At 42.9% G+C, this 26033-nt stretch overlaps 1 protein-coding gene and 1 long non-coding RNA gene across 3 annotated transcripts in view; one reads left to right on the top strand and one right to left on the bottom strand.

Annotated features, from left to right (window-relative positions):
- CREB3L2 (cAMP responsive element binding protein 3 like 2) overlaps positions 1-26033 on the bottom strand; it is a 127108-nt gene that overhangs the window by 77203 nt on the left and 23872 nt on the right. The gene's annotated exons all lie outside the window — the stretch shown is intronic.
- On the top strand, positions 1167-5785 carry CREB3L2-AS1 (CREB3L2 antisense RNA 1). Its single transcript, NR_161346.1, has 4 exons — positions 1167-1343; positions 3067-3155; positions 4403-4464; positions 5537-5785. It is a non-coding gene; the product is annotated as a CREB3L2 antisense RNA 1 (long non-coding RNA).

Consider the following 26033-nt stretch of genomic DNA (forward strand, 5'->3'; position numbering starts at 1 on the left):
AATACCCTGTTCAGCAGCCCTACAAAAAGGTAATTAAAACCATCTAGAGGCCTGGTGAGGTTTGATTTACTTTTCTGGGAAACTTGGAAAAGATCTTCCTAGTATGGACCTGATTTATCATCTGACTTTGAAGGTTCTCCTTGTGTTTGATTTCTATTAACCATCTCTTCCACATACTCAGCCTCCTTCCCAACTTCCCCATGGCTGAGAGGATATCCCCGCCCAGCCCTCAGGCTCTCAGCCTTTCAACTCAAATGTCACCTTAGAGAAACAGTGTCCATGACCCCTACGGTAGCCACAGGTCCCATTTTGTCATCTTCACTGCATTTGCCAGTCTGTGAAATTAGCTTACTGATTTATCTGTTCCAGTTTTTATGATCTGGCCCCTGCTTTCCCGCCTTTGCACTAGAATATACAGGGACTGTCTGTCTTGCTCAGTGTTTGACAGCCACCCTACCTACCCCACCCCAACTCTACCACACCTAGAAGGAAGTGCTCAGTAAGTATTTGCTGACTTACTAACTCTTAAGTTTTTCCTGATTCCTCTTTCTCCTTTGACCCCAAATCCAGATATAATCACTTATTTACCTATCTATCCTACTCCAGGAGGAGTTTAAGAATAATTGTTTTTGTTTTTGTTTTTTTTAGACGGGGTCTCTCTCTCTCACTCTTGTCAACTAGGCTGGAGTGCAGTGGCGTGATCTTGGCTCACTACAACCTCCGCCTCCCGGGTTCCAGCGATTCTCCTGCCTCAGCCTCTAACGTAGCTGGATTACAGGCGCCTGCCACCACGCCTGGATAATTTTTGTATTTTTCGTAGAGACAGGGTTTCACCATGTTGGCCAGGCTGGTCTCGAACTCCTGACCTCAAGTGATCTGCCTGCCTCGGCCTCCCAAAGTATTGGGATGAAAGGCATGAGCCGCTGTGCCCAGCCAGTTTAAGAATATTTCAATCACTTAGTAAGACCTTTTAATGTAAACTCCTTGATGTCTCTTGACTTCATCCTGATTTATTTCCTGGGAAACAAGAGAGCTCAGGGTTAGACAGTTTGTTCCCTCTAAGTCACTGTAGTTTATGTTAAGTGGGATTAGCTCCCGGTGGTGTTTCACTGAAAACCTGCTTACCGCTTAGTTGATTAACTGCTACTCCACATAACACATTCCTTCCTTATGACCAAATTACTGCCAGAGCCTTCTAACTTCTCTGCACCCACTCCAGTCTAGCTGAGGCCTGAGGAATAGATGGATAAATAACAGTATCTGAGACCTGCTGTTGGTGTATGTTAAATGTTCTTTAAAAAGCGTCAACCATCCCCAACACACGACTCTCCTGAAAGGGAAAGGTATGCGGGTTTGCAGAGGAGGGGAGAGTTGGGTGGGTGATGACGGTCTCAGAATGTGACTCTAGAGAAATCATTTCATCTCTGTTGGAAAGTCCTTGTTTCACTTGCATTGTGTTTTAAGGCTGGGAAGGGGTAGACACTGAGCTCTTTCTAATGCCAAGCCTTCATCAGAAAGCAGCTGTAATATAGAAAAAATGCTTTGCCTAATCCTGTTTTCATGATGGTTTCTAGGCAACCGCTTGATGCAAACTAGTTTGTAAACAGCTGGCAGCTAGATAACCAAGAGAAAAAGGGGCACTTAAAACAGACGGTCAAACAAAGATCTGCAGAAGGGAAAGGCATCATCATGGGTTTTTCACACAGCCCAGTAAGATCACAAGGTCCTGTAACCTCTCCAGGAGGGAAAAGCAGCAGGGGTGTGTGAGCTGTAAACCTGGAAGAATAAACAGCACTCTCCTGATGAATCACAGGGAAAGAGAAATTCTTCATGTCATTCTTCACGGAGGAGACAAGATCAAAATCTTGAGAGGCTACCTCTCTGCATGGGTTTCTGTCTGGTATTCTGAAGTTCCACAAACATAAGTAGAGTCCTGCCCTTTGACCTTGAGATACAGGTTGTACCTGTCCTGTCTACGCATGAGGGATAACTAAAATGACAACTGAAATTGTGAAATGACCCACAGCATTTAATGATCACCGAGAACAAAAGTGTAGGATCTTAGTGCTTGTTTACATTTGGCTTGAATTGTGTATTATTTTTCCTGAAAAAGAAAGACTAGTAATCCTAGGGACATAATCCACAGCTTACAAATACTCTTGCTCTTGCAGGTGGTGACAGCAGATAGCTACCCAGAAGTAGGGGTGGACCCAGGCAGGGGGCAGGGGGCTAGGGATCCTCTCAGAGGTTCCTGTTTGCTCCCTGTTCTAACTATAATGGCCACGGCTTTCTATTTTCAGAAAACTTTTAGCAAAAAGGAAAGAACCACAAAGAAATCATCAGGAGCACTGCAGGCAGCACACATTTAAGCTCTATAAAGGCAGCTTATGCTTGCGTCCAAACTACCCTAGGAGCACTCCTATTTTTTAAAATGAATAACTTTGTGTTGCCAAACTCCCCAGGTCCACCACATGTAAAGTTTATCTGTAACAGCAGCCTAAAGAGTTTGGAATGCTCATGGTATTGTCTGGCCATGAGAGAGGAGGTAAGAGGAGAAGAGGAAGGCATGGAGGCTAGAAAGTAGGAAGACCAGCTGCCCCAGTTGCCTCAGACTTTTCTGGTTGTAAAGTTCCACATCCTGGGATATCTCTCAGTCCCACAGAAGTCGGAACAACTGCCCAACCTACAAAGGAATAGAAAGAAGACTACAAACGTTGCCTAAGCACAAGTGTAATTAGTCACTCAAGACTCCCAGTGACTGAGAACCCAGACCCAAGAAACCAGGTCCTGTAACTGCCAGAGTCTGGGTTCTTATTTAACATAAAACTCTAAAGTTCCCTGGACAGAGCCACTGGTAGAGACACCATTCTCCCACCACGTTAACCTACATTTAAAAGTAAATAATGAATGACCATGATAAACCAATCACTCTCTTGACCCCTAATTCTCACCAGGCTGACCTTTTTATAAGTGGTTACAGATACGCTACTACTTCATCATTAGAAACCCCCTGAAATCCTTGCCCATTTCCATCTTCAATGAGTACAGTAAGAATCCATCCAACAGGTATAGAAAAAGCACGTGTTCACAGACAGTTTCTCTAAGGAGCAAGCAGCAAAGCCCTGGTGGATTGAAGCTGGTCGCATCCTGGTTTGGTAAGCACCACAGGATGGGGGAGGGCGAAGATGGCAGTCTTATGATTAGTTCTTCAGCACGGCCACCTCACTCCTCTCCCCTTAATCCCCACACGCCAAACTTACACGTCCGGTTCAGAAATACTCATGGAGTCTAGAAATATGTGTGAGGGCACTTGGCATTTTCACTTCTAATTTGTGATTCAATTATTGTTCTAATTGGAAGATAATCTGAAACAAACATAACTCAGAAAATAATTTAACAGGCACCCCTGAAATCCACCACCTCGACTTTTCAAATGTAAATCTGCAATCTTGGCCTCAAATTTTTGAAAAAGAACTGAAATATTACCAATAAAACTAAAACCCACCTCAAAGAGGCAGATCTGAGCACCATCCTCTCCTTTTTATAAAGGCAGAAACTGAAGCTCGGAAAGATTAATATGCCTCGTGTTCCATTACTGGAACACTAAGCATGCGGGAGTTATTTATATCCTACTGCTCAAGGTCATCGCCAAGGTCTGATGTTTCATTCATGCAAAAATTCAAAAAATTACAACCTAAGGCATAAAGGGGTTAAATAACTTACCCCAGGATGTATGGGGACAGTCACTGGACACATTCAAGTCCTAGTCTTCCTTGCTGCAAGTAAAATTTCTCTCAGTGGGTACCTTTCAATCACTTGAAATCACTCATACTTTGATGTTTAAAACACTAGCTAAGGCACTTAATTTCAGGTCTCAGATTTTGCTGCCACTTGTGTTACTAGGCACCAGGTATTTGGTGGCAAGACAGAACCATCAGTTTGCCTCAGGAATGTAAGACTTTGAATCAGAGAAGACCCAAAGGCCTTCTAATTATTTATAAACAGTTGTTTCCCACTTACAAGTGGAAATAAAATTAAAAAGCACAAACCGAGTGAGACGAATAAGCTATAAGGAGTAGAATACAATTTCAATCTAATTGAACATTTTCATTATAGAGCATTTTCAAATAAGTGTTTAGTCAATTTACTTTAGAGAGCATCTCAGGTCAGTGTCTGGTTTAAATTCCAACTACCACTCTTGCCAGAAGAAAATCGTTTCGCAGTGTTAGCAGTGGACAGTAATACCCGGGTTTCCTCCCCAGTGCAAGTTTCCAGTAATAGAATTAATTTGAAGTCAATTTCTTCTAAATCAAATCTGAGCTCTCTCTTATTCACAAAAGCTCCTAAGCCCACCTGAGCTGCTTTCAAACTGCCATTGCACTCTCTACCTTCCATCTTTCAGGTCCTGGCAATCCTTCACACGGACAGCCATGCCGAATATTTCTCGAGAAGCCAGCAGCCCAGGTAAGCCATATTGAAACAGCACAATTTAACAATGATAGTTATTTTACTTTAACTTGAATTTCACAATCCAGGTTCTGAATTCTTTGAGTTGGGCAAACATTTGCGATTGCTAGCATACAGCATAAGGCCCCACCTAAAAGAGTTAGACCATTCAGACAGGTGAAACAACATTCCGCACAGAGCTAGGTGAATCTGTTCACCTTTTTCTAGAAAAAGGGATTTGTCACTTACAGGAAAGTAGGCAAATTCAATTAACCCAGTAGTGAAGAGCTACTTTTAGAGCTGAACAGCATTTCCTTTTGTCAAACAGAGGCCTTTTAGAAAAGCAGTGTGTGTGGATTTAATCCAATGCCCCCCACCCCCCAGTGTACATTAAAACTCATAAAATGTTTTGTCTTTTCTTCTTCGGCCTCTCCACTCCACTGGGTTCCCACTCTGGTCTAGTCAGATGTAATGATGACGTGGAGTTCCCTGAACACAGCGCTCATCACTCCTCCCCATCTTGAACACAGGTTCCTACAGCCTGGAATTCCACTTCCCTCCCTTCTCCACCTGGAAAACTGCTACTTCCACAATCTAGCCTTTTTCCACTCACCCAGGAAATCATGTCACTAGGCACCCAAAGTGCACTCAAGGACTCACACATTTCCTTCTCTTAACACATTTACCACTTACTTTCTGCATTTTTTTTAAACCTATTTCTCTCTCTTCAAAGATGTGACTACAGGAATCTACAATGCCTAGACATAACAGAAGGCAAATAAACACTTGAGAAATCCATTAACATCACAACCTCATTCCTTTCCCCACCGTCTGTACAGCATCCTGACTGTCCACAGGGGTGCCTAATTATACAACCCCAAGTCCTCCTTCACCCTAGAATCTCCACTGGGCCCAGACTACTTCGCATCAGAAAAAAATACAGTAACTCCAAACTCAACAACTAGGCCCAGCCCCTCAACTAGTAAAGAACTCTTAAACTTGAGAAGATGGATATTTTTTCTTCATTTTTAGAAAGTGAAGAATATATTAATAACCCAAATAATTCCTACTCCTTCCACTCAATTTACAGGCTTCACAAGTTTTCTTCAAAGAACGCACCTGTAAGAAAGAAGACTGGCTGTACAAGAAGAGTGGTAAATGCAATGACATTTATCTCTTTCCTCTGCTAAGGTATTAATTCATCAATAAGCAAAAACACTTCAGATGCATTCCTACTAATTTTTGCTGTATCACAGGGTGGAAGACTGTTTGGTCCCAAGGGAATAATGGCTACAATCTAGGACCTCCTCCCAGAAGGCAGGAACATTGTGTCTGGCGTGTTCCGTCCTAGGCCTGGCCCACTGAAGTCCCAGGAGCTGTTCAACTGAATCAGTCACTTTCTAGTTTTCCCCTAAATCCAGGTCATCACTGTTCCTAATTTCCATGGTCACCAAGGGAAACAGGCAGCTCCCTGACTCATGCAATTCCCTGGGGTCAGTCCTCAGTGGGAAGAGAGTAGAGTTTACAGGCCAGAAGTCAATTTGAACAGTTCACACTACCCAAGGCACACAAGCCCAAGGCTATGCGTAACAAACTTGATGGCCCAACACAAGTTAGAACTCAGGTAAAATTCATGTAAAAAAAGAACCCCTTAAGTTTGCGACTTGGAGACAAACCACTGAGATCCTAAGTCTACTGTCTTGGGAGAAATATTGGAATTTATTTTCCCTCAAAATGATCAGAAAATAAACCTTTGGCCAGGCACAGTGGTTCACACCTATAATCCCAACACTCTGGGAGGCCAGGGCAGGAGGATCGCTTGAGCTCAGGAGTTTGAGACCAGACTGGGCAACATAGTGGAGACCCTGCCTGTTCAAAAAAAAAGAAAGAAAGAAAGAAAAGAAATCCTTGGCTGCTTCAAACAAGCCAAACAGCTTGAGATATCTGATGAGTGATAAGAGTTTTAAAAAGCTGTATTTGAGGAACTCACTTATCTGCTTGGCATTTGGTACAATGCAATGTTTAAATGTTTTAAGAAATCCAGTGAGTTAAGGGCAGGCCCTTTCTCCCATGTCTCACTTTCTGCATCAAAGACAACAAATAAGCTGCTCTTGATCCAGGGCCACCTGAAGAGCCTCTAGTGAGGTCACCAGCTAACACTTCCTCATTCTGCCTGACCACTGCTTAGACACAGGTGAGTGGATCTGGTCAGGATTAAATCCAAGGAAGGTCCAGTGCAGTCAGGATCAATCCTCTGGCGCCAACACTTCACACACTTGAGATCTGTCTGCAACACAAGGGATGTAAAAACTTAAGTAATTCTTTTCAGTCTTCAAAATGCCGAGTCATTTTTAAAGAGACTAACATTAAAGCAGAAGTTACTACAGTATGTGTGTATGTCTGTCTCATGTCTGAGAAGGAACCTATTGACTCCAAGAGACCAGAATTGACTTGTTAATGAGGACTGTAGAGTCCCCACCTAAGGAGGATTGTGAAAATGGCCTCAATGCTTGGCAGGTCCTCCCATGAAGAGGTGATGTCTATTTCTCTGCTCTTTGATTCTGCAATGGCATTTCGAGTTGCTTTGGCCAACACAATGAAGTAAAGTATAACTGTCCAAGTTCTGAAACTGGGCCCCAAGAGTCTTTGGCACTTCCAGTCTCCCTCCTGGAACCTTCAGCTGCCATCTGAACAAGACAGGACTAGTCTCTGGGTAATGAGTGACCCCCAAGGTCCATATTCCCCACCATTCCCTTTCTCTATCACCCCAGCTGATCGCCACCCATTCCCTAGAAGCAGAGCTGGCTGACCAGCACCTGAGCACAGACTCATAGGTGAACCCAGCTGAAACCAGCAGAAGAAAAGTCCATCTGAGCCCAGTCCAAATTGCTGGTTCACAGAATTGCAGGCTAAATAAATGATGGTGGTTTTAAGCCACTAAGTTGTATGGTGATTTGTTATGTAGCAAAACCTTAAACACCATTCCCAAAAACGTTTTGGGAGAGAAGACATGACCATATGTTGAAAAGACATTCAACTCTGTGAAGACAGGGAGCCCAATCAATGATTTCTCAAACATTCTACAAACCAGGGTAAAAGAAAGCATGATGAGAATCAAAGTATAATAACCGAATTAAATTATCCGAAGTAAACTGCATCCTTTGCCATCCGGCGAGGAAAGTACGTGCAATATTTAGAAAATGTAAGGTAATGTAATTACTGGTTCACCAGTACAACAGAAAGTTGAGTGATAAAATACTTATTTACCTCAGTAACTTTTCACTTTCACTCTCTTCCCTTTATTTTTCAGAGGTCTACTTTCCATGTTCCCATTCCCTAGTTTTTAGAATTCTCATGGCTTCATGTCTCCATTGTACTCCTCTAGCAAAAACAGAAGCAGCAGTAGCTTCCACTAATGGAGGCACTTTACTAGGTGCTTTTAACATCTAGTAAAAAATATATAATTCTCATTATATAGTGAATTATCATAACCAACCCATTAGATAAGTAATAATTAGACCCATTTTATAGGGCAGTAAACCAAGGCTCAGAGAGGTTAAGTAACTTGCCAAGAACATGTGGTTTGCATGTGCTGGAGCTAGAATTTAAACCACCATCTGTCTGGTTACATAGCTCATGAATTTTCCATTATCTAACACTGCCTCTGAGGAGTAAGTGCTAAGTTCGTAACATAGACTTTCCATAAGAATGCAAGCTTAAAATACAGTGACTATAAGTAAATGCAGAATAAATACATATGTGTGTGTTTATACATACACACATGCACACACACACAGGGGGGTGGGGAGAGAGAAAATAAAAGAAAGAAGTAATTGTGAAAACTCAAATTCCGTCAAAAGAGAATATTAGTGATTTTGTCCAAAGCCTTTCCAAGGCTTAGAGAGAGAATCAGGAATATATAACAGTTAGGGTCAGTGGGATATTAGCCTGGAAGTATCTAATAAAAGACAACATTGGATCAATTACCTCTGGCTCTAAAGCACATACCTGGAAAGACATCCACAGGGGAACCATCTGAAATTCAATTAATTAACTGTGCATATTTTGAACAGTTTTGCCATAGTACAACTACTACAGAAGCACGTGTTTTATTTCATTTAAATTAACAAATAAACATAATCTTATTTACCAATTATTTTAAACTTAAAACTAAATTATTTCTTTTTTTTTTTTTTTTTTTTTGAGACAGAGTTTCACTCTTGTTGCCCAGGCTGGAGTGCAATGGCACGATCTCAGCTCACTGCAACCTCCACCTCCCAGGTTCAAGTGATTCTCCTACCTCAGCCTCCCGAGTAGCTGAGATTAGAGGTGTGTGCCACCACACCCGGCTAATTTTAGCAGAGACGGGGTTTCACTATGTTGGCCAGGCTGGTCTCAAACTCCTGACCTCAGGCGATCCAGCCACCTTGGCCTCCCAAGAATTATTTCTTTCACTCAGAAAGAAATGTGGGCTTAAAAAACCAATCTATTATTTTAGGAAGAAGCCTACATTGTTAAATGTTTATATTCTGCATTAAATTTACTTCCTTCCTCCAAATTATAAACTGGGGGGTGGGGGGTGGGGGACATGAGAACATTAAAATTTTTCATTTGTCCTCAATTTTCTCAATGTAAATGAATTTGCTCAGTGTCCTTGCAGTCAAGCCAGCATATAATTAAGTGGCAGTTTGGAGGAAAGTACGTATGTCTCTGAATTGAAATTGGGGAAGGAACATCATGGGGGCCCTCCCCCTGCACAGTCAAAGCACAGGCTGAGTCAGGCTTTCTCTCCTTGAGTCAGTTGTTGCTCCCCACACCCAGGCAACCCAAACCTGGAAGAATCTCAGGCTTTCTCCTACTTCAGCCTCTCAGGCAGAGGCCCTTTATCCCACCTTTGCCATCACAGGATACAGACAGAATGCGTCTTCTGTGGATCCAACCTCTAGGCCTCAACTCTTCCTGTCATTTTGGGGGTCCCTCCCCTGTGGCATCTCTTGTCCTCCCCTCCCCATTTCTATGCCAGACAGTCCTCTATCTTTCTCTCAGGTACCTGTGGTCCCTAGGAAACAAAAGCTTTCCTTTTCCCACCCGGGGGGCACACCTCACAAGACTCTGATGGTCACCTTGGTCACTCCGCTCTAAGCTCTGCCCTTGGCAATTCTTCCATTCATCCTTTGCTGCTTCTTGAAAGATCTCTAGCCTACCCCAGGCCTTTCCTCCATGATCTCATGACCCATGCCCTCTTCATGCCCAATGCTCAGTCTCTCCGTGGCAGGCCCCCTCACTTTTCTGAACCATGGGAACTTCTAGGAAGTTCTTCTAGGAACTCACACTGCTCCCCTGTGTCTCCATGAACCCAGCCTCCACTTCCTCTCCTAGCATCCCCTGCACCTCCACGCGCCTGCTCTGCTCTTCCCCATCTGCGACCCCACCGAAGTCAGGACCAATGTCAGGAAACACTTGTAGAACAAGGGGGAAGACTCACTGAATGTTCACGTTGAAATGGACCCTGGTGGTTTTTAAGCGCAAATCCAGGGACACTAAACTCATGAAGCAGCACAGACCATTGCTTGGGCGACTTGAATTCTAAAGCTGCCATACACTGAACTAAAAGCTGTCTCTTGGTACCTTTCACTAGATGGCCATGGCTCTGACTTTGGAACTGTTCCCTTAAAGCATTGGAAGGCTGTCATCAAGAAGGATCCTGAGTGTGTATTCCCAGATCTTGTCCCTCCTCTACTCAAATCCTGAATCTCATCAGGATGAACAAAGGGTTTCTAGGCCCCCTTTCTCTGCCTTCTCACCTTGAGCTTCTTCCCGCACCATCCTCCTTCCCCTTCCCTGAGGGATCTCTGCTACAGGCACACTTGCCTCTCCCAGCTCCAGCATACACCCTGGGGAACCACTTTTGCCAGCCATCTGGGCTGATTGCACCTTCACTGCCCCCAGACTCAAATATCACAACATCAGGCAGGACTCCCCACCACCCTGTGTAAGCCAGTCAGAGCCTCCCACCCCCCACCAGCATTCTCTTACCCCATCGTGGTTTATTGTTCTCCATAACATGAATCGCCCCCTAAGAAATTACATGTATGTTTGCTTCCGATCTCCTGCACTACACATGAGTTCCATGGGGGCCGAACGTTTGTCTACTTGATTCACTGCTACAACAGCACCCAGAACACAGTACCTGGCACAAAGTGGGTGCAGTGCTCTGTATGTATATATCAATAAATGAATTCCCACTCCCTTCCATCCTCGCACTCATCCCCCAGCACACACAAACCTCTTTGCTTTCTCTCTGCATTCACTGGTCTGCATATCCAGCTTTCCTAAACAGCAAGGTGATTTTGGATACTGATCTGACATCTGACATCCCAGCAGTCCCTCTCAGCTTTGGGGCCCTTGGATCTTCATGAAGATGTCTCCCTCCTTCTTCATCTCACTCAACCAGCCCCCCTCCTTCACGTTCCTTCTGGATCCCAAGCCTGCAACGCCTGGAAAGTCTAGATAAGGGTTATGGTCTATGTCATCCTCAGATATGCTGATAAAAAGGCTGAGCAAACAGAGCTCATTTAAAGATCCCCCTCTCCGGAGGCTCTAAGCCAGAATTTACCTGCTCTTCAGGACCTCTTAGCAAGTCCCTGTTCCCACTTAGTCAGCACTGCTTTCTTCCTATTCACAAAGGATCTCTTTAATAACCAGCTCCACCAGTTTTCCAGGTATTAATGTCAAGCTTTTCCCTTTTCAAAAACCAGTACGGTATTCACTTCTTTCTAGTTTTCAGGCACCTCGTACTTGACTTTGTTAGTCCTTAAACTGATTTCTAATTCACGCCATTTTGTATTTATCCTAAGGTAAACATCAATCTTTCTAGCTTCTGGATACATTATTTTAAATTCTGAGCAAAATGTCTCTAGTCACTCTCTGGTATCATGATCCACCCCTCCCATCTTTGTTTTTATTGTTCATTTTTACTGGATTAAATTTAAATGTTTTTCTAACTTCCTCCTTCACGAACTGTATTTATATTAGAGTCTCTGGCCATGGAGCTTACCTAATTTTCCCCCAGGATCTTTTGAAATCTTGAAATCCTCTTCCCTAAATTGCCGAAGCAGGGATAATTATGTCCAGGGATAATTATGTCAAGCCAAACTTGATTTGTTTTTATAAGTTTAAAAATAGTTATTGCCTTTTTTATTTTGGTGTTTTTTTTTAAACAACTTATTTTGTTCAATGTTAGGATAGTATTTGACATATCTGTTGAAGAAAGAAAGAAAAAATAGAAATGAACAAATGATGACAACACCAAAGTAAGAATGTATCACAATCTGTTTTCAGCTGAAATAAATTCCTAGAAGATCCTTTATCCCTTTTAAGATGGCCATGTTAAAGAAACACTTGCGGCCAGGCGCGGTGGCTCACGCCTGTAATCCCAGCACTTTGGGAGGTCGTGGCGGGCGGATCACCTGAGGTCAGGAGTTCGTAGACCAGCCTGGCCAACATGGTGAAACCCTGTCTCTACTAAAAATACAAAAATTAGCCAGGCGTGGTGGCAGGCACCTGCAATCCCAGCTACTTGGGAGGCTGAGGCAGGAGAATCACTTGAACCCAGGAGATGGAGGTTGCAATGAGCCAAGATCATGTCATCGCACTCCAGCCTAGGGGACACGAGCGAGACTTCCTCTCAAAACAAACAAAACAAAGCAAAACAAACAAACAAACAAACAAACCCTTGCTTAACCCACTAGCATGTCTCTGGCTCCCAAAACACTTGTCACTACCAAATCAATCATGTGTTTCGACAGGGGAATGTTTTCCTCCGTGTTTAGCCTTTTGAGCACTCAGCATCTAGACTAAAGCACCCAAGGCTATTGACCCATCAAATACAAAAATGTTAAGCCATCTAGAAAAACCAGATCATTCAGTTAAAGGCTTTCTTTGTGCCTCCTGCACTCCCACAAAGATGGGGAGGGAACAAGCATGATATGCAAGGTAATCAATATTGAACAATCCAATATTGAAAACAAACGGACTGCTTTCAAATTCTTTAAATTCTACCATTCTTTTCAAATTATAGAGAGTCATAATCCAGTAGTGATATGGTTTGGCTTTGTTCCCACCCAAATCTCACCTTGAATTGAGCTCCCATAATTCCCACATGTTGTGGGAGGGACCTGGAAGGAGATAATTGAATGATGGAGGCGGTTTCACCCATACTGTTCTCATGGTAGTGAATACATCTCATGAGATCTGATGGTTTTATAAGGGGAAACCTCTTTTGCTTGGCTCTCAATTATCTCGTCTGCCACCACGTAAGACGTGCCTTTTGCCTTCCGCCAACCACGTGGAATTGTGAGTCCATGAAACCTCTTTTTCTTTATAAATTACCCAGACTCAGGTATGTCTTTATCAGCAGCGTAAGAACAGACTAATACAAGTAGTGACCAAACTCTAGTTCTACTACAGAGATTGTCCAACCGGGGAAACAAAATAGATAAAGAAACTGCCCATAAGGTAACATTCTAAATTCAACTATCTCTAAAGCCAGAGTTAGATCAAGGGACAGGATAGTGCTCAAACTGTTGCCAACTCCAGTAATTACTGCTTCCTCAGATTACTTACGATTTTTCTATAAACAGAAATTTAGTCTGTCTCCTTCTGTCTTTCCAACACGCAGTATCAACACACATGCGCACAAATATATTTACACTCGTTGAGGAAAACATGGCCAAAAAGACAGAAACGTGAACTTTTGCTAGTTTAAGCATTCCATTTTTTCCCTTAGGATAATTAAATCGAATCAATGACAAAAGCCCCTTGATTGTGAGGCTTTGCAATCTACATCTGAAATATCAGAATATTGTTAATATTAAAATGTTAATAGAACACACAGGTGAGTAGACCAATGCTATTGGTTCTTCTGGAATACTTCCTTAAGTTATTTTACAAAGAACCCTGGTCTCAGGAAGCACTGATTAAAGTTTCAAGGAAGTGACACAGCCCATGTTATAAGCAAGGACATAGAAAGCCCTAGGTTCTCCAGCCAAACACTGCAACTATCTGCAAAGCTCTCTCTTCTACGGTAAAGAGAGTTGACCAGGGTAACGTCCACTCAAAATCCCACTCCACTTAAAACTATGGGATTCTATGCCTGAGGAGGAGCAAAACAAAGTGCTATTATTTATGTCAAAATGGGCAACTGGGAGAAACACCTACTGAATCTAGCCTCCTCCTCTAGGGCAGGAATGCTTAAACCTGAGGGTGTATCACAATCACCTGGAGAGTTTATTAAAACACAATGGGTGCATCTCACCCTAGAGTTTCTAATTCAGTAGGTCTGCAGTGGGGCCCAAGAATATGTCTTTCTACCAAGTTCTCGTATGCTTTGCTGGTCCATAAAGCACACTCTGAGAACCACTGGTCTTCCAAAGAAGGAATCTGATGTTCACTGATGGCATCAAGGACTTAGGTGAACAGAAGTTGGGAGGGGCATCAAGACAGAGGAGCCAAAGAAGATACAGATCAGAGACAGGAAGTGCAAACATGTGAAAAGTTATGAAATTCCTCCAGAGAGTGGAAAAATAAGGGCTAGTTGCATCTTCTTAAATTATATCCCACTATGTCTTACTGCATAATTTGTAAAATAGATTATATGTTACTTGCTTACATACTTTAAAAAATTATGTCCAATAAGTTTGGATGGTAATGTGATGCACTTTCAGAAAGCAGGTTAAAAAAAGCAAATTCAGTCAACAAAGAAAACTGTTAATACATTGGTGCTCCCTCCAGTGGCTCAGGGAGAAGGAGGAGCACTATCCTTGATATGGAATTGGAATATTTAAGAAGTGTATGTTGATCCTAGCCACGACTCAGATAGAAGGAAAGCTCAGAATAAGTTAATCTTTTGGATAAAAGAAGAAGATTACCTCACTTTTGACTACAGACAGCTCAATTTGGAGATTTTACAAAGAACAGGAAATAACATATTTTGCCTCATGTTCATGCCTCTCAAATAAAAATAATAAGGAAATTTTAAAAAGAAAAATCGTAGGTAGAAAGGAAGGACCTATGCCATATGAGAGTTCATCAAAGCTCCCCTGCAGTGGCTTACTGACAAGCTGCTAGAACTGTGCTTCTGAATCCTTGTCTCTGCCTCCATATAATACGCAGGAGCCGCATACTCCTCAAGGTAACACTCTCATTACACATGGATTCTCAAGTGTCTGGGAATGAGGGCATGGAAGGAGGGTGTTATGAACTGAAAGTGTGTCCCCCTAAAATTCATATATTGAATCCCTAACCCCCAATGTGATAGTATTTGGAGATGGGGCCTCTGGGAGGTTTACATGACGTCATGAGGTGGGGTTCCCATGATGGGATTAGTGCCCTTATAAGAACAGCCCAGAAAGCTTGCTCTCTCTCCCCTTCTTCTCTCTCTCTCAGTCTTCTCTCTTTCTCCCTTCCTCTCCTTCCCACTCCTCTTTGCCCTGTGAGGACACAGAAAGAAGGCAGCTGTCTGCAAGTCAGGAAGCGGGCGCTCACCAGAGCTCAACTATGCTGGCACACTGATCTCAGACTTTCAGTCTCCAGAGCTGTAAGAAATAAACGTCTGCTGTTTAAGCCACCCAGTCTATGGTACTTTGTTAAGGTGGCCTGAGCAGACCAAGGCAAAAGGTGAGTGAATCTCCATCAGCCTAGCAGTTTGGACTCTGAGCTCATTATCGGGACATCATTATCTACCTAGAGACAATTTACCTAACTTTGGGCCAAGGACTCAGGAAGAAAAGAGCCTCTGGAATGTTATCATGGTCACCACACTACTAGCGGATGTAAAAGGAGAACAAACACTAGGCTTAGCTTGAGTCCCAGCCCTCCTCCCACAGTCACTCCCCCAACCCTAGCTTCTCCCTAATGCTAACCCAAAACAAGAGATACTCCGGATGACTCAGCCGCAAGTGCCCTTGCTATTGATTTGAACCTGATCAGACAGTTTGGTTCTGGCTCTTCGATTCTCTCCCAGACACCAAGCCCCATGTCTCTGAACTGGAGTGTTCCTGTGGCCCCTGCTCCCGATCGCTGGAAACTGACTCACAAGTTTCCCTCCCAGGAACAGGAAGCCTGCCCTGCACTGCATTCCTAAGATCCTTCTAACCACTGGCAGCTCAGCCTCATGTTGGCCACCTGCATGAACTTCCAACCATCACCTCCCCTCACTGTGATGCCCCATCCACTTCCTGGGACACCATGTAAATACCTAACAGCCACTGTTGACTGAGCACCACCGTGTGCCAGGATCTCTGCTTTAATACGCATTATCCCTAATCCTCAACACAATGCTGCAAGGTAGGTTATACTCTTCCCATTTGTGGTTGAAGCACACAAGACTTAGGGAGTTAAATAACCTTCCCAAGATCACACAGCCAGTCAGTAAAAGCTTGCTATTTTCACCTTTCTTTCTGACTTTAAAGTCTATTTTCTTTCCAATACAACACAGCGTCGTTTCTACCCCATTTTGGCACACCCCATCCCTTCCTTGTCCTCCACAGCTGATGTTGCCCTGGACTGGAGCTAGCTACTCTTTTTTTTTTTTTTAATTATACTTTAAGTCCTAGGGTACATGTGCACAACGTGCAGGTTTGTTACATAGGTATACATGTGCCATGTGGGTTTGCTGCACCCATTAAGTTGTCATTTACATTAGGTATTTCTCCCAACGCTATCCATCCCCCAGCCCCAGACTCCCCAACAGGCCCCAGTATGTGATGTTCCCCTCCCTTTGTCCATGTGTTCTCAACGTTCAACTCCCACTTACGAGTGAGAACATGCAGCGTGTGGTTTTCTGTCCTTGTGATATTTTACTGAGAATGATGGTTTCTAGCTTCATGCATGTCCCTGCAAAGGACATGAACCCATCCTTCTTTAAGGCTGCATAGTATTCCATGGTGTATATGTGCCACATTTTCTTAATCCAGTCTATCATTGATGGACATTTGGGTTGGTTCCAAGTCTTTGCTACTGTGAATAGTGGAGCTGGCCACTCTTGTATCCTCTCAGCCTCACACTGTTTCAAGCCAGCTGAACCTCCTCCAATGGGGGGTACAGCTGGATCAGTCCCCAGTATACCATCAGCTCAGGCCCGCCACCAACTCTCTATCCCAACTCATAAATGAATCCAATTTGGTGGCTCCCACCTTCAACCCCATTGATTTACAACTTCCAATTACAGCACATAAGAACAAGTCTTGTGTGTGTCCTAGGGGGTTGGAGAAAAGAAGGAAGAAAGTGAGAAGGGGCAAAAAGAAAATGAGGAAGAAAGAAACGAAGGAGAAGAATAGGGTCAAGGAAAAAAGTGGATCAGAGGAGAGAGAAGGAACGAAGAAGACGTGGCGCCCCATAAAACAGCATGTGTCAAGTGAGGACACTGTGGGGCTGCTTAGTCAGGAAGGGCAGAGAGCTCAAATCTGGAACTCCAGCAAGATCCCTGGTCTCCTAGTTAAGCCAAAGAAAACTGTTCCCAGTCTGAGAAGAGAATGTGCATGATGATATCAAGATTACAAATCATAAAAGCTAAGTTTCCTTTTTGATAAATTGGATCAGAAAAAGAGGTGGCTATAAAGGACATTTTGGGGACAACTAGGGCAATTTGAACATGAATGCCTTAGATAATAGCAGTGTATTAATGTAAAATTTTTTTGAGCATTATGATCTTCTTTTTTTTTTTTTTTTTTTTTTTTGAGACAGAGTCTCATGCCGTCGCCCAGGCTGGAGTGCAATGGCACGAACTCGGCTCACTGCAAGCTTCGCCTCCCGGGTTCATGCCATTCTCCTGCCTCAGCCTCCCAAGTAGCTGGGACTACAGGCGCCCGCCATCACACCCGGCTAATTTTTTTTTTGTATTTTTTAGTAGAGACGGGATTTCACCATGTTAACCGGGATGGTCTCAATCTCCTGACCTCATGATCCACCTGCCTCAGCCTCCCAAAGTGCTGGGATTACAGGCGTGAGCCACCGCGTCCGGCCTATGATTTTCATTGAGGTTGTTTAGCAGAATTTTTTTTTTTCAAAGATACCAGCTAAAGTATTTAGAGATGAAATGTCATAATGTCTCAACTAACTTTCAAGGGTCATCAAACACACACACACACACACACACACACACACACAACATACACATACGCAGAAAGACAGAAAAATAAGTTAATATGGTAAAATATTAGCAACTGATGGATTTAGTCAAATGATATATGTCTTGACTGTATTATTTTTACAACCTTTCTCAGGTTTGAACTTTTTCAAAATAAAAAAGAAAAGAAATTATGAAATAGGCACAACCTAAGAAACAAATGTTTTCCAGATGCCCAGGGTATTTTAATTTGCATAATAAGTTCTTCCAGATGACTTGAAAGCACTGTTATGGGGGGGTTAGAAGATCATCCAGCTCTGGAGTCAGGCTGCCTACACTGGAATACCATCTAAAGAGCAAGTTTCTTAACCTCTTCAAGCCGCAGTCTCCTCATCTGTAAAATGGTGCCCAAAACAGTATTGAATACAAAGGGTTGATTATGAGAGTTAAATGTAATAAGTCACAGGAGTTATTATTATTATTGATATAAGAAAAGACAGGATGTATAGTACTATCCTCACTTAAACTGCCCAAATAGAATTCCAAAGAATAAGCTGACCATTTTGTTTTAGAACTTTCTTTTTCTTTCTTCCTCTTACATAAAACACAGAGAAGCAATTTCAGAAAGATGGCATGTGCCAAAAACCACAGATATTGGAATCAATCCAGACATCGTATCTTTTAACGAGAGAATGGGGTGACATTTCTCCACCAAATAAAGTTCCTTATAAACTAAGTTTCCTAACTTTACGTTCAGGGTGAATCACTTGCAATGAAGAAACAGCAACTGTAAGAAGGAAAAATGGGTCTTCTTCGATAAGCCGGACAGTTCACAGAAGGGGGTGGGTGGGGTGGGCAGGATCCAGGTGGGAAACCTAATCTTCAAAACAGATTCCTTCTTTTGGCCAGAAAAGCTCAGGTCAAGGAACTGAAGAGCTGGCTTCTTCCTTCCTCACAGTAACTGCCTTGATGACTGGCAGTGTGGCCCAGACAGAGCACATTCCATAGGGCTGGACAGCAGGCGTGGGGCCAGCAACCGTTAAACACACTTTTGTATCCTCCACTAAAAAGAATGTCTGGAACCAACAGCATGTGCCTTGTTCTAAGAACAGATTTCTCCTCCAGCTATTTCTCCAGCTTACAGAAGAAGTGTTTATGCAGTGTGCACCTACCTACACTACGGTTACTTTATAGCTGGGTGCCTCAGTGTGAGATACTTAAGAATATCCATATTTTTAAAAAGCTTGGAGAATGGCATGCTTCCAACATCAGCATGAACCTAGACCCTAAATTAAGTTAGCACACATATTAAGAGATACACACAAACTTCAAGAAAAAACAAAATCAAGTCTACACAGAGTTTAAAGGTGCCTACTTATTTCCAGAGTCAGAATTATGTTTAAAAAAAAAACTGGGGCCAGGCGTGGTGGCTCACGCCTGTAATCCCAGCACTTTGGGAGGCCAAGAAGGGCGGATCACGAGTTCAGGAGATGGAGACCATCCTGGCTAACACGGTGAAACCCCATCTCTACTAAAAATACAAAAAATTAGCCGGGTGTGGTGGCGGGCGCCTGTAGTCCCAGCTACTCGGGAGGGTGAGGCAGGAGAATGGCGTGAACCTGGGAGGCGGAGCTTGCAGTGAGCCGAGATCGCGCCATTGCACTCCAGCCTGGGCATCAGAGCGAGACTCCGTCTCAAAAAAAAAAAAAAAATTTTGGATGGGGGGAGACATTGTATGAAGGACACTAAGGCAACACTGCAGACACCGCAGAACTTGATCTTTTTGCGGCTAGGCTGTGATGTGTGAGTGCACACAAAACACCGGTCCTTACTCTCTGCAACCCGAATCCCCTGGATCTCTTTCCCCATTGTAAATAACCTTATCATAAGTTCTTACCTTAATCATTAACTTCTCTGGATGGTACAAAAAAAAAAAAGGCCAGGGTCTGTTTTCTAATGTATATTCTTGCTCTTTCCATTTTTCTAAAACTATTAATTAAACATTAAGCCAACTTATTTAAAAGAGGGAAAAATGGGAAATAACCTAAAATCCTAATAATTGGATGTCACTTAAGAACCTACAAAACATACACTCAATGAACAATACACGGCCATTAAAAAGTGATAGATAGGCTGCTCTGTCTATGGAGTAGCCATTCTTTCATTTGTTCACTTCCTTAAAAAAAAAAAAATAATGGCTAAGTATTAAAATAGGAAAATGTCCATTATTAAATACAAAAGGGCATGGCACAATAGTTATATGAATATGTTTTATTAATAGCTATGTAAAAGAAGTATTCATAAAAAAAATCTGAACTCTAACACAAGAGAAATTAACAGCAGTTTCGGGAGTGCATAATGAGCTTTTGACAGATGTCTTGGCTGGGCGCAGTGGCTCATGCCTGTAATCCCAACACTTTGGGAGGCCTGTAATCCCAGCACTTTAGGAAGCTGAGGCGGGCGGATCACAATGTCAGGAGTTCGAGACCAGCCTGGCCAACATGGTGAAACCCCGTCTCTACTAAAAATACAAAAATTAGCCGGGAGTAGGGTGCACACCTATAATCCCAGCTACTTGGGAGGCTGAGGCAGGAGAATTGCTTGAACTCAGGAGGCAGAGGTTGCAGCGAGCCAAGATCATGCCACTGCATTCCAGCCTGGGCGACAGAGCAAGACTCCATCTCAAACAAAACAAAACAAAACAAAACAGAGAGATGTCTTTTTTGCTTGTTTTTTAGTTTCTTTAATGAGGTAATACTCTTTTTGTAATGAACAATAAGAACAGTATTTTTTTCTTGATAAATAAAAGGAAGCCAGGTTTGGTGGCTCACATCTGTAATCCCAGCTACTTGGGAGGCTGAAGTGGGAGGATAGTTTGAGGCCAGGAGTTTGAGACCAGTCTGAGCAACACAGTGAGATCCCCGTCTCTACAAAAAAAAAAAAAAAAAAAAAAAAAAAAATATATATATATATATATATATATAGAGAGAGAGAGAGAGAGAGAGAGAGAGAGAGAGAAAAGAAAAAGAAAAACCTAGGATAAAGGTTGATTTCTTATTTTAAATTCCACAGTCACCTAAGGGAACTAAACTCTAAGGCACCTGTAACATTCATGAATAAATACACTGTGGATCAACCCAGGGAGCATTTTCATACCAGCAAGGCCCCAGAATGGACACCCTGGTAACAAAGTCCTCTTGTTTGGGGGAATGTCCCCAAATCCCTATATAGGAAAGAAGCTTCAGGGCCTCTATGAAAATATTTACACATGAGAGAACACAGACACACACACCCCAAATCCACATGAGAAATTGAAGAAATAGCATATCTAGTGGGTGCAGCGCACCAGCACGGCACATGTATATGTAACTAACCTGCACATTGTGCACATGTACCCTAAAACTTAAAGTGTAATAATAATGAAAAAAAAAAAAAAAGAAATAGCATATCATGAAAAACTAAAATGGTTTGAAATTCTTCAACTAACGATGACCTTAATCATAGAAGTCCCCATTCCAACTTGTTTGCCTTGTACGGAAGACTTGGGTCCCAAGGAGAATCCACACACTCCTGGTGAGGGTGTGCTAAAGTTGATCAAGTTTAACTAAATAGGTTCAGTACCGCACCAAGGAACACAGAGTTTCCCAGACAGCGGCCCACCGGCGCCTATTCTCTTTGAACACAATGGAGAGGCACATGACCCTCGGGAGCTAGAGGAAAGCTCACCTAGAGTGAGTTGGAGTCTGCTGTGCTCCTTGGTGGGAGCAAGTAGCAAAAAGGTAACAAGAGATATCCTAAAGTCAAGAAGGTAGCAGCACAGGGCCCATCCGACACAAGATCACAGTTAGTAAGCCCAGAGACTTATTATGATGGATCTGAGACACTAATGCCTAATGCCACGAGGCAAAAAAGTGAGACTGCCAAGAGGGACCCTACTAGTCAGCCATAGTTTTACAACTCAGTCTTCAAATCCTTCTCTTACACACCTCCTGGCATTGTTTAATCAATTATTCAGACAGGGCTTCTGATGAATGGCTCCCCCATTCATATTCACAGTTAAATTCTCCAATAGTTAACTATGCACGTTTTCACAAGATTTCCAACAACCTGAAAACATTTTATGAGCTGGCATTGCATGTTCTGGGGAGTATTTCCAAACCAATAACTGCTCATCATTGTCTCTGCTGAAGTGAATCTGGAACGAGCCAAGACCGAGAAATGATGGCACAGGGAACCTATCAGAGGCAGAAATATCCATATTATAAAGTTAGAAATAAAATAATGCCAAGCATCTGCTCTTTAAAAAAAAAAAATCAACCTCCTTGTGTAAAAAGAAAATGAATAAAAATACTTGTCCTACCTACCCCATTGGTTTCATTCATTGAACAAATATTCCTGAGAGCTGGGTACTGAGGTACAACGGTGATGAAAAGCAAAGAGACCCTTGCTCTATTGGAACTTACAATAATGGGAGAGAAAAGGTGAAACAATCAAAATAATGAATCAAAAACATGAAATATTATAACCCCTCTGAAATAAAGGAATACAGATCTCTAAAAGCAGGAAGAGTTTCCTTAAGGCTTGAGCACAATCTGAAGGCTAAGCACCAGGCAAAGGGAAAAGGGTGAAAAGAGTGTTCCAACCAGGACCAACCGGCATGTACAAAGGCCCCATGGCAGGAAGAAATGTATTTAAAGATCTTAAAAAGGGGAAGGGGACTCATGGATGGAGCGCAGATTGTCAGGGAAGAGATCAGATGTCAGGGAAGAAATCTTTGAAAAGATTTCTCTTAAACTTGGGGATGACACGAAAGAGAGAGAAGGGAGAACAGATATGAGAAAAGTTGTTAATAGGCTACTGCAATAGTCCTGGCAAAAGACAGGGATAGCTCAGTTCTAATGAGGTGACCAAGGAGATGGAAAGAAGTGAATGGAGTCAAGCTATTCAAGAGGGAAGAGCCACAGGACTGAGTGACAGATGGGATACAAGTTAGGAGAGAATGACATCAAGAACGGCTCCTAGGTGCCTGGCCTGCCCCAGTGAATGTTTGACTGCACCATTTGCTGGAGATAGGGAACAGGTTTGGGGTAGAGCCTGTGAAAGGTGAGGAACCTTTGAGATAGTCCAGTGGAGAGACAAGCTGGCAACTGGATAATCAGGTCTTAGAGACAGATCCAGGCTAAAGATATAAATTATGGGCCCATCATGATAGAGATGCCAACTGGAGTGTTGCCCAAGAGACAGTTACAGAATGAGAAGAAATGACATTTCAGCATCAAGCCTTGAAATACTCAGACCTTTTAGAAAGTTGCATGAATCAAGAAAGATAAGGTATATGAATATCTTTTATAAACCGTAAAGCATTATAAAAATATTAGTTACTTTAAAAGATGAAAGGGCATGGAAATTAATATTTCTCTGACATTAAAAGCTATAGATCAAACTCAACAAGGCCATCAGTTGTACAGAACTCAGGAGGAGTTTAATCCATATCAAAGCTCCAAAAGTCCAGGAGAACAGATTGAATTTGCTGTGAGCCCAAGAGGCTCTCAGAAGGGGACTTAGGGTTACTCATAACCAGCAGGCTATTTCTTCTTGCAGAACCCACAAATGAGTCCCATATTTGGGCCTCTGCAATCAGTTGGCTGCAGCTCCCAGGCGGGCTGACACACACTGCAACCTCACATCTGCAGGACTCTCGCCCCTTCTCTCTTTTTTAAAGGGCCTTTGTCCTTTGTTCCCCAGCCTCACAGGCAAGACAGAAGAGCCTTTGCTTCTGTACTTCTTAAAAGCTTTAGAAAGGGACTTCATTCTGCACACTTCGGGGAGGACCAGGACCCATGACTGCATGGGAAGTAAAACACAAGTAGCACACGGCATACTTCTCCTAGATGCTCTCTGCGTCTTCCAGCACCTCAACATCCAATTGTAAAATAGCAGGAAAGATTCAGTTAGAGCCCGAAACTAAATTTAAAAATTAAAAAAGAAGTAAATAAATTAATTAAACAGCAGGAAAGAGAGAGACAATCAAGCTTTGCATGAAACAGCTTTTATTCTTCTTTTAGGAAAACGGTTTTAAACTATATTCATTCTCTGGAATTCAAAGTAGTTTTGCCCTTAAAAGGCTGACCTTAGAATCATTCCACCCAGCTGCATAAATCCAATACAATTCAGCTCAGGCCACTGGGAAAGACACTGAGTGGGAGGCCGAGCCAGATGACCCTCAATGTTTCTCTGCTCCAAGAGTCTGATCCCATAAGTAAGAACCAGATGTTCCACAGACATCATCTCCAATTAGGGAATCAGCATCTTTCAAAAACATCTCTTTCTTTTTGCTAATAATGTGGCCCAATGGCCCTCAGAACTCTGATTAGCCAAGTATTGGGTTCAATATGGATATTTTATCAGCCAGGAGTCTGCTCTTACCTACTTTCTCAGTTGGACCTCCTTGGGGTCCCTTTCCTAAATATATGGCCACCCAGCCACCAGGCATGTGCCAAAATCTGCTTATTTAACACCCTTTACCCAGAGAACTAATGTAGTCTCTCTCCACTTACCTCCACACTCAAGCCTTGGGTGGCATCGGCCCCAAATTTCCTGCCCTAAGCACCTCAATGCAGTGGCCACTCGTTAATTTATCCTTTCGTCCAGTGATCCTCAAACCTGGCTGCATATTACAATCATCTGGAGAAGTGGTTATGTTTGTTTTTTTCCCAGCATTCTAATTTAAAATATGCAAATCAGAGCAAAGTTGAAAGAATTTTATAATGAATACCATATGCCTACTGCCTAAATAACACCATTAATATTTCATTGTTCCTGCTTATCACAAACCTACCCATTGACATATTCATCCATCACCCCACTTTATTTTTTATGCATTACAGAGTAAGTTGCAGACCTCAGTATATATAAACACAAATCCAATCTGGAGACTATTTTAAAAAATCTTATGCCCCACCTCCAGACATTTTAATTTAGTCAGTTTTGAGTGGGGCTCAGGCATTAGTATTTTTTAAAAATCTCCCCAAGTAATTCAAATGTGCAACCAAAGGGATAGGGGAGAATGCTTCTGCCTCCCATGAGCCCCGCCCAGAGACAGTGGGAGAGGCCAGTGGGTGGAGCCTGTGGAACATCATAAGCTATATAGGCTACGCAGACGGCAGCCTGCCATCTTCTTGCACGTACACACCCACACACAACATCAACCATCGACAAATGAAGCAAAGGCCAAGGAATGGGTTGGGAGGTGGAAAGAGAAAATTCCCTTTATTCCTTTAGAAATGAGGCTGCAGAAGGGGAAATTCAGGTCTAAAGACAGACACCCCCTGAGCTTCCACACTTAAACACGGCCCCTGCCCCTGCACCTCCCACCATCCTTCCCAGGTTCCTCCCCCGTTATTCTGACTCCCAACCACAGTGGAAGTCTGCATGGAAATGGGGTTGCAGGGCTTCTCAAAATCCAGCAAAAGGAAGAAAGTGGGATTAGCAATAAACCCTGCCTAGATTTTCTAGTCCAGACAGTCCAAAACCAAAGTGCCGAGGTGGCAGAAGCTACCGGTAAGCAGCATCTCCACGTCTGTCCTCTAAGAGACCCAAAGCACACAAGTGAAATGGTTATGCAACAACACAACGATTATAAAATAAGACTGTGGGGACAGTTAATACTTACAAGGGTTGGGAAAAAGGAATGACAAATAGTGACTCAGGAAAGAATCTTGGTATAACCCACTGGGCATCTAACTACATCATTAGTAGCCATTTCCAAAAAACCTTGAAAATTAATTTCATTTTGAAGGCAATAAATGACAGATAGATTATCTATCTAGACAGATAGATAACCATATGTAACCACAAATCTTGTTTTGTTTAAAAAGAAATGTAGGGCTGGGCGTGGTGGCTCATGCCTGTACGCCCAGCACTTTGGGAGGCTGAGGTGGGCGGATCACTTGAAGTCAGGAGTTCGAGGCCAGCCTGGTCAATATGATGAAACCCTGATTCTACTAAAAACAGAAATATTAGCTGAGTGTGGTGGCGCACACCTGTAGTTCCAGTTACTGGGGAGGCTGAGGCATGAGAACTGCTTGAACCTGGGAGGTGGAGGTTGCAGTGAACCGAGATCATGCCACTGCACTCCAGCCTGGGCAAGAAAGTGAGACTAAGAAAGAAAAGAAAGGAAAAAAGGAAAGGAAAGGAAAAGGAGGGGAGGGGAGGGGAGGGGAGGAAGGTAGAAGCAGTTTCCAAAAGTGCCTTACAATTCAAACTTGATGCCTTACAATTAGCCTTTTCTGAAGAGATTCCTCACAATCTTAGTCATCATATCAGCTTTGTGAAATCAATAGGTATTATCATTTCACCTTACAAATGAAGCAGAGAGACCAAGATAAATAAAAACAAATCAGAGACCATGGAGCACAAGGAGCCCAAAAATGCAACTATCCTGACTTCTGGACGACTTTAC

The sequence above is a fragment of the Homo sapiens genome, chromosome 7 (assembly GCF_000001405.40).
Source record: "Homo sapiens chromosome 7, GRCh38.p14 Primary Assembly".
In the NCBI taxonomy this organism is placed as follows: domain Eukaryota; kingdom Metazoa; phylum Chordata; class Mammalia; order Primates; family Hominidae; genus Homo; species Homo sapiens.